Source organism: Homo sapiens, chromosome 4, assembly GCF_000001405.40.
Source record: "Homo sapiens chromosome 4, GRCh38.p14 Primary Assembly".
Taxonomy (NCBI): Eukaryota; Metazoa; Chordata; class Mammalia; order Primates; family Hominidae; genus Homo; species Homo sapiens.
The window spans coordinates 76,227,684-76,237,146 of NC_000004.12; the positions used below are offsets into that span (position 1 = coordinate 76,227,684).

General features: G+C 41.7%; 2 protein-coding genes across 2 annotated transcripts in view, besides 1 other annotated feature; one reads left to right on the plus strand and one right to left on the minus strand.

Annotated features, from left to right (window-relative positions):
- SCARB2 (scavenger receptor class B member 2) overlaps positions 1-6,849 on the minus strand; it is a 75,796-nt gene extending 68,947 nt beyond the window's left edge. Inside the window, exon 1 of the mRNA XM_047416429.1 lies at positions 6,620-6,849. The gene's annotated coding sequence lies outside the window, so the exon portion shown is untranslated. The remainder of the gene's footprint in view (positions 1-6,619) is intronic.
- The window catches only part of FAM47E (family with sequence similarity 47 member E), a 69,744-nt gene that overhangs the window by 13,644 nt on the left and 46,637 nt on the right, over positions 1-9,463 (plus strand). The window lies entirely within an intron of this gene.
- Positions 6,213-7,089: an enhancer, noted in NCBI's record as "NANOG-H3K27ac-H3K4me1 hESC enhancer chr4:77155049-77155925 (GRCh37/hg19 assembly coordinates)". NCBI's record gives its function as "activates a minimal SCP1, AML or CMV promoter by ChIP-STARR-seq in primed H9 embryonic stem cells {active_cell/tissue: H9 hESC(primed)}" and the evidence as "EXISTENCE:reporter gene assay evidence [ECO:0000049][PMID:30033119]".

Here is a 9,463-nt window from a genome sequence, read left to right on the forward strand (position 1 = left end):
TGTTTTATAAATTTGGGAGCTCCAGTGTTAGGTGAGTATATACTTAGGATTGTGATATTTTCCTGTTGGACTGATCCTCTTGTCACTATATAATGTGCCACCTCTTTGTCTTTTCTAACTGTTGTTGCTTTAAAGTCTGTTTTGTCTGATATAAGAATAGCTATTCCTGCTTGCTTTTGGTGTTCATTTGCCTAGAATATCTTTTTCTAGCCCATTACATTAAGTTTACGTGATTTCTTATGCATTAGGTGAGTCTCTTGAAGACAGCAGATACCTGGTTACTTGATTTTTATCTATTCTGCCATTCTGTATCTTTTAAGTGGAACATTTAGGCCATTTACATTCAACTTCAGTATTGAGATGTAAGGTACTTTTTTATTCATTGTGCTAGTTGGTGCCTGAATACCTTTTTTTTTCATTGTGTTGTTGTTTTATAGGCCCTGCAAGATTTATGCTCTAAGGAGGTTCTATTTTTGCCTATTTTGAGGTTTTATTTCAAGATTTAGAATCCCAGCTGGGCGCAGTGGCTCACACCTGTAATCCCAGCACTTGGGGAGGCTGAGGGGGGTGCAGATCATTTGAGATCAGGAGTTAGAGACCAGCCTGGCCAACATGGTGAAACCCCATCTCTACTAAAATACAAAAATTAGCTGGGTGTGGTAGTGCATGCCTGTAATCCCAGCTACTCGGGAGGCAGAGGCAGGAGAATCACTTGAACCCGGAAGGTGAAGGTTACAGCAAGCTGAGATTGTGCCACTGCACTCCAGCCTGGGCGATGGAGTAAGCCTCCATCTTAAAAAAAAAAAAAGAAAGAAAGAAAAAAAATTTAGAATTCCTTTTAGCATTTCTTGTAGTGCTGGCTTGTGGCAAATTCTCTCAGCATTTGTTTCTCTGAAAAATACTTTATCTCTTATTTATTTATGAAGCTTAGTTTTGCTGGATAAACTATTCTTGGCTGCCAATTATTTTGCTTAAGGAGGCTAAAGATAGTACCCCAATCCTTTCTGGCTTGTAGAGATTCTGTTGAGAAACCTGCTATTAATCTGATAGATTTTCCTTTATAGGTTACATGATGCTTTTGCCTCATAGCTCTTAAGATTCTTTCCTTCATCTTGATGTTAGATAACTTGATGACTATGTGCCCAGGTAATGATCTTTTTGTGATGAATTTCCTGGGTGTTCTTTGAGCTTCTTGTATTTGGATATCTAGATCTCCAGCAAGGCCAGGAAATCCCTCAAATAAATTTCCCAACTTTTAAATTTCTCTTCTTCCACAGGAACACCAATTATTCTTAGGGTTGGCTGTTTAACATAATCCCTAATTTCATGGACGCTTTATTCATTTTTTTAATTACTTTTTCTTTGTCTTTGTCAGATTGGGTTAATTCAAAAGCCTTGTTTTCAAGCTCTGAAATTCTTTCTTCTACTTGTTCTATTGTTGACTTTATATTTTTCTAAGTGTGCACTTTATATTTTTCTAAGTGTGTCTTTGATTTCCAGAAGTTGTGATTGTTTTTTCTTTATGATGTCTGTTTCTCTGGAAAATTGTTCATCCATGTCTTGTATTGTTTTTTAAATTTCTTTACGTTGGTTTTCACTTTTCTCTGGTATCTCCTTGAGTAGCCTTAATAATCAACCTTCTGAATTCTTCATGTGGCAGTTCAGACATGTTTTTCTTGGTTTGAATCCATTGCTAGGGAGCTAGTGTGGTTTTGTGGGGTGTTATAGAACCTTGTTTTGTCATATTACCAGAATTACTTTTCTGATTCCTTCTCATTTGGGTAGACTGTTTCAGTGGAAAAAGCTGGAACTCAAGGCCGCTGTTCAGATTCTTTTGTCCTATAGGGTGATCCCTTGATGTGGTATGCTCTCCCTTTCCCTAGGGACGTGGCTTTCTGGGAGCTGAACTGAATGATTATTATTGCTCTTCTGGGTCCAGCCACCCAGTGCAGCTACCAGGCTCCAGGCTGGTGCTGAGAAATACCTGATTCCTGTGATGTGATCCATCTTCAGGTTTCCCAGCTGTGCATACCAGCACCTGCTCTGATGGAGGTATCAGGGGAGTGAAGTAGACTCTGTGAGAGTCCTTGGTTGTAGATATGCTTAGTGTGCTGGCTTTCTTGGATGCTGGTTATGCTAGCAGTGAAGTTTTTATGTGGACAGACCCAGGCCATCTGGTTAGCCATGATGTTGCAGGCAGTGAAATTAGGTGTTGTTTTCTCCTCCCTTGGAGCAGGGTTATTCTGTCATTAATTGCTATTATGTCCTGAGGTGGATGATCTCCAGCCAGGAGGTGGTGCTTTCAAGAGAGCACCAGCTACGATAGTAGAATGGGGATATAAGCTTGCCCTAAGTTGGCCAGGATATGTATTTGGGTTTCTCAGGTAATGGTCAGGGCCATGAAGCTCCCAAAAGTTTATGTCTTTTGTGATTGGCTATTGGGATGGGTAGAGAAAAACCATGAGGTGGGTGCAGGGTTAGACAAGTCTGAGCTCAGACTCTCCTTGGGCAGGGCTTGCTATGGCCACTGTAGGGGATGCTGGGTGGTTCTTGGGCTAATGGGGTTATGTTCCAGAGGGGATTATGGCCACCTCTCTCACTAAGAAAGTGGGGGAAAGCCAGTAACAATAGGCCTAACTCAACTCCCACACAGCTGGTGAGGCTGGTCTTGCTCGCTCTGTGCCCTCCTAACAGTGGCAAATTAATCTCCAGGAAGCCCAGGGAGAACTCAGACCTTGCCCCAGGCTATAAGCTTCCCTGCTGAGAAAGCAAGCATCACTTTCAGGCCTCACCTGCCCCTCCCTGTCTGCCCACACGATGGGCCATGGCTCCTGTGCTTCTTTCTGCAGCAGTTCCTGTTCAACACCTGGATTCTGCTCAAGAGAGTTTATGCCCAATAAAATTATTATAAAGTTCAGTTTGAAGCTTCCCTTCTCTTCCTAGCAGATATCTGGGGTATGTGAGAGAGAGAGGAAAGAGCGTCCTCTTTCCCTCTTCTGTCCTTCCATCCCCGAGTCCAGGCGACCTTGGCAGTCACCACCATAGGTGTTAAAATGACTTACACTCATGAAGCAGGGGGTTTAGGGGGTGAAAATCTGCCATTCTTACCCACATATGCCCTATCTCCCTTATTGTCAGTAGCCTTGAATTCCCTAGACCTCATTTATGCCATGGACACTAACGTGGCCTTTATCCATCAAACAGGAAGCTTGGGCATGGCTTAATTGGCAGGAATCAGCCACGATCACCTGTGCTGTGCCTTTTAACCTCTGTTGTTGTCTACCTCTGGATCCCTTAGATCCAGTTTTCTTTCCTAGGGCTTTGACCCAAAGCTTGGAATTGAGTTTGGAACAAAAATGTGTCTCAGGGGAGTTGCATGGACTCCCTATCATAAGCTGCATGCTAAGGTGAAACCGTAGAACTGAGTCCTCCTCCAATAAGGGAGAGGAAAGGATGTCTTGTGACACACCCAGATGACTGATAGCTATAGTTATGCTTGCTAAGATTTGGGTGCATGATGCTTGGCTTTTGTTAGCTCCCTTGGTCTTATTTTCCCAAAGGAAATGTCCAAGTGATGGGCATCCTATTCATTCCCATCACCTGGCAGGGTTTTCAGGATAATTCCTCAGAATTAGAATGTTGATCCAGATTTTCACATTACCCATCCCTCTTGTTCTTTCTGAGCTGCAGCTGGAGACTGCCGGTTGGTTCACAGGAACAAGTAGGATTAGTCTTAAAATGTAGGTAAAAACTTAAAAACAACTAGTGAGTTTAGAATTTAATGACAAATATATGATAGGTTTTGAAACACGATTTCTCACTCGCCAGTCCTCATTTTTGTTAAAAACAAACAAACAAACAAATCATGACAGGACTGAGTTGTTTGCAAAATAGACTTTACATTTTTATACTTGGCCTGATTATTTGCATAAAGTACAGCAAGAATTATTATTTCCGCAAAGGCCTTTCGGATTGGCTTCGATGGAAGTTTGTTCCACAAGGAATCAGATAAGACCTTTTAAAGCTGAGCCCAGGCATGGGTTTATCCTCAAATACCTGTGAGTTTGGTGATCCTCTCCTCTTAAGGTTCCAAGATAAACTTGGAGTTCCTGGACCTGTTAAAAGTGGCATTCTTTACTGACCATAGGAACCCTGTGCAGGGACTGTGTAAACAAGGGTATGAGGCCAGTTTCCCCACTGGGATTTTATTGGCGCTGCAAGTCAAGATTGACTCCTTAAAGGAAAGCATACCCTTCCAGTCAAAGACTTGGTAAAGTAACCAGTTTTTCCAATTGTGTCCCGTTGCAAGAGAGAAGTGGATTCCTATTGCACTGATGTAAACAACTATATTGCCATAAGTTATGAATACTCACAGATAGTTTTCAAATTTTAGAGGAACCAGGCAGAGAGAAACAAACATGCTTCAAATTTTGGTTACAGAAGTATACCTTGCTTAATTATTAAAGGCCATAAATAGTTCAAAATAAGTTTCCTTGACTCTGAGAAACAAAACAAGGATGAGCAATATTCCAAGCAAAAGTCAAAAAGATTGCTTTAGTTTTCTGAGTTCAGTCCATTTAGTTAATTCTTGCTTTGGTTGATATTCGTGAACATTTCAGCTCTTCATGAGTCCTGTACATTTTCCTTTATTCCAATGTCACAATCTCCAAAGTTATCAGAAGCCTGTATTTGAGAGCACCTGTTACAGTTCTACGGCTTATTCTAAATCATCTCTTGAAAAGGATTAAAACAAGACAACAATTGTCTCTGAATAGCAAAAATGTCCAGGGTAGTTACACTTGGAAACACAATTGACAAAGGAGTTTGGTTTTCTCTGTGGTTTACAATAAGTTAACATAACAACCTTAATTATGATTGGTAGCATAACTTAGACATTAGAATTTTAGAAAGTCCCATACAGTTTTGGAACATGTATTAATATTACTCACAAAAATATAACCTAAACAAGATTGAACATCATTATGACAATTTCATTTACCTAGACATGTCAAATCATCTCGTTTGCCTCTCTTTTCTGGATGTTTCAGGGGCCCTCTGGACTATCTAAAAGCCAGGTATCAGAAAAGACAATTATGAAACTTAAGTTTGATTTTTGGAAGGCTGTTAAATATGTTTAAAACATTTGATATTATGAAATAGTGTTCCAGATTACTATAAACAATTTTGCCAAAATGATGACTCAGAAATTTTAAAGCAGCAAAAACCTTTAATAACCCTTTTGAATTTAGTTAACATGGTCACAGAGAACCTCTTCTGCAAGATTAATTTCCATAATTCTTGCACCAGTTGTTTGAACCTTCAGCTTTTCCTATCTAACTCAAAACAATCCTTTAACCCTAGGCAAAAATTTACATTTCCATGCTTCCTTATAACCTTTTACTAAAAAACCACATTTTACCGTTCTTACACACCTTGCATGTAAATCTATTTCCAGTAGTCTCAATTACATGTTGTAATGGTAACTCCTAGAATTTTTAACGTTAATTTAAAACCTGGTAAGTTGTTCTAATTGTGTGCTAACTGCAGCCAAGTTTTGCCTTCTTAATTAAGGGTGTGGTTAGTTCCATGTGTCCCCAGGCCTTACCAGCTGTGAAGCCAGCAAGTCATATTTCTCAAAACCCAAAAAGCAGTTTGTAACCTTAAAACATTTAGCAAACCTTGCATCTGACCTGCATTATGCAGCCCACCTATTTACATTTTAATGACATCTGTTTTTACCAATAATCTTTAAGGTTGCTTTTATTTCTCAAAGATTAAAGTCGCGTGAACTGAAAGGCATCACAGCTTTTATCTTCCCTTAAAAAAATATTAGATCTGAGCACTTGTCTTTCTTTAGGCCAAATTAATTAGAGCTCTTTTTACAGACATCACACACACACACGCACACACACACACACACATATGTAACTGACAAGCATATAACACACACATATAACAGCCAGGCAGGAGAAAACCCAGTCCCCGGGTGGGGTTCTTTAAGAGACAGGGCTAGGAAAACATCCAGATACCAACCACAGCAGGCTCATCCCCTAAGGCAGGATTGCTGAACAAAGCCCTATCAAGCAGTTACAGGCAGTGCCCCCAATATGTAAAACCAGATGAAGGCTTCATTTCAGAACCAAAACTTTGCAGATAATACAAACAGAGATAGTTGGTTGGGGGGGGCTTGGTTTAGTAAAGCATCTTCTAAAAGGAAAAGAACTTTAAAAGTTACTACTGATGGGGTGAAGAAGAGGAAAGAAAAAAAGTTTAAAAAATGCCTGGGGAAGAACCTCTTATTCTTATTCAAGTGGTTCCTTCACCAGGGAGACAAGTTTAATTGCTGCGGGTCAGAGATGGCCTTTCAGGCCCAGGGTGTGTGGCAGAAAACACCAGCCAGCTGCCCGCGGCACCTTGGGCCATGTGTCTCAGCCCAGGCAGGGAGGGGAGGGTGGAGGGGAGCCGCTGCTCACTGGTCCATCCCGAAAAAGGAAAGAAAAGGCCATGAAAAGGCTGGGGAGCAATGCGGGGGTGTGGGCATGATTTCCCCCACTCTCAGAAGTCTGAGGATGAAAAGGCTTAGGAGCAACAGTGAGAGGTTTTGAGTCATTTCACTCACCGCTTCTTGAGCCCCATGTTGGGGGTCAAAAATGTTGCAGGACTTTTCCTTTGTGAAGCTAAAGATGGCATTCTTTGTCCCATGGCCACAAAAATTCAGGCTTGCAGACAATTTGAATGGTAAGACAGAATTGTACTGGGTGAAAAGGAAGAAAAGGAAGAAACAGGGACTCTTGCTAGGCCAGAGTCCCTGCTAGAATGCTTCCTGCTTTACGGTTGGAATCCTAGGTTCCACACAGGAAGTGAGGCGGCCAGGCTCCTCCCCGCTGCAAACAGCGTGAACTTCCCGAGACTCCACCCCAGGGCGCAGGTTGGTTGGAGTTTTTCCGGGGACCCCCTCCCACCTGGCTGTCTCACCAGCACTTTGGCAGGCCAAGTTGAGAGGATCACTTAAAGCCAGGAATTCAAGACCTGATCGGGCAATATAGTGACACCTTTATCTCTATGGAAGGAAAAAAAATGTTAGCCGGCCATGGCGGTGTGTTCCTGTAGTTCTAGGTACTCAAGACACCCAGGTGGGAAGAGAAGTTGAGCCCAGGAGTTTGAGGCTGCAGTGATGCAGCCAGCTAGGATTGTGCCACTGCATTCTAGCCTGGGCAATAGAGCAAGACTCTGTCTCTCAAAAAAAATTTTTCTTTGCCTGATTTAAATAGTAAAATTAAAGTAAGATAGTAGGGACAGGGTGGGGACCAGCAGCCATCCTCCCTCCTGAAAAATAAACATAAAAATAAATTGGCCGGTCGCGGTGGCTCACACCTGTAATCCCAGCACTCTGGGAGGCCGAGGCGGGCAGATCACGAGGTCAGGAGATAGAGACCATCATGGCTAACACGGTGAAAACCCGTCCCTACTAAAAAATACAAAAAATTAGCCGGGCGTGGTGGCGGGCTTCTGTAGTCCCAGGTACTCGGGAGACTGAGGCAGGAGAATGGCGTGACCCCGGGAGGCGGAGCTTGCAGTGAGCCGAGATCGCACCGCTGCACTCCAGCCTGGACGATAGAGCGAGACTCCGTCTCAAAAAATAAATAAATAAATAAAATAGAAATAAGTTTCATTTTGGGAAATATATTTTAAAATATAATTCTAAGCTACCTGTCCTCACTAAAATTAAGGTGGGGATTAGAAGGAGTTAGGAAGAGAAGCCTCCTATGCCAGGGACAGCAGTAGGCACTCTCCATATTTTACCTCCTTTACAACTGTGGGAGGTAGGAATTATTATCCCCATTTTACATTTGAAAAAAAACCTGGAAAAATCTCAGATAATAATTAACTTGTCCAAGATCATGAAGCTAGGAACTAAGCACAGATAGGGATTCCCAGTTAAGGGCTCAAGAGAGATCAACCTGTTAAGAGAAGAGAAGGTGTTTTTCATTCTCATATTACCAACTTAAGACCATATGCTGCTGTTTCACAAAGGAGACTCACAAATTCATTGACTAGTTCTAGATCGATTCCCCATTTCAGAAATCCTCTGCATTGTAACGCTAATATTTACTGGGAGCTTAACTACATGCTAGGCATGTTCTAAGCAGTTTATATGTGATAATCAATTTAATCCTCTCACAATCTGATGAGGTAAGTGCTATTATTATCATCATTTTAGCAGATGGGACACCAAGGCACAGAGAAGTTAGATAACTTTCCCAAGGTTGCATAGCTAGTAAACAGTAGAGCCAGGATTCGTTCCTGGCAGACTGGTGCCAATGTTATGCTCTTACCTGTCTTTTATAACTGTGGCACCAGAGCAAAGTATAACAACTGGTTTGAATTTTTTACATATCAAAAGTGGCTTGGAGAGATTAAAGAACATTTTTTGTGTTTTTTTTTAGTTGTCCCCACCCAACAGAAACCTGTCAAACTGGTTATTCAGGTTTAAGTCACTTTATAGTTCTCACAAGAATGTTAAAGGAAAATAATGAAAACAAACAGATGTTAAATGATTCACTCCAGTATAAGCTCAATTATCTAGGTTCCTTTGCTTTTGTAGCAATCAAGATGTCTTTGGACTTTGACCAAGTCTGAAACTTTTTCATATTGTATTTATTTCAAATAATGAGATGATCAAAGGTGATCTGTGAAAAACACAGGATAGAAACTGCAGCACCCTGATAGAACCCACATCTGGGTTGTTGATGAAAAGAGTCAAACTCTGTAGAATATTTGAAGAGATTTATTCTGAGCCAAATATGAGTGACCGTGGCCTATAACCCAGCCCTCAGGAGATCCTGAGAACATGTGCCCAAGGTGGTTGGGGTGCAGCTTAGAACATTTTAGGGAGACATTTACACATTAGAGAGACATGAGACTTCAATCAAATACATTTAAGAAATACATTGGTTTGGTCCAGAAAGGTAAGACAACTGAAAGTGGTGGGGTAGGGTGGTGGGGGGTGGGGTGGGGGTCAGGGGCTTCTTATAGGTGGGTTTAAAAATTTTCTGGTTGACAATTGGTTGAATTTAAAGACCTGGGATCAGCAGAAAGGAAATGTCTGGGTTAAGACAAAGGATTGTGGAGACTAAAGTTCTTATTTGCAGAGGAAGCCTTCAGGTAGTAGGCTTCAGAGAGAATAGGTTGTAAAATATGTTTCTTTTCTTTCTTTTTTTTTTTTTTTTGAGATAGAGTCTCACTGTGTCACCCAGGCTGGAGTGCAGTGGCATGATCTCGGCTCACTGCAAGCTCCGTCTCCCAGGTTCATGCCATTCTCCTGCCTCAGCCTCCTGAGTAGCTGGGACTACAGGCGCCTGTCACCACGCCCGGCTAATTTTTTGTATTTTTAGTAGAGACGAGGTTTCACCGTGTTAGGCAGGATGGTCTCGATCTCCTGACCTCGTGATCCACCCGCCCC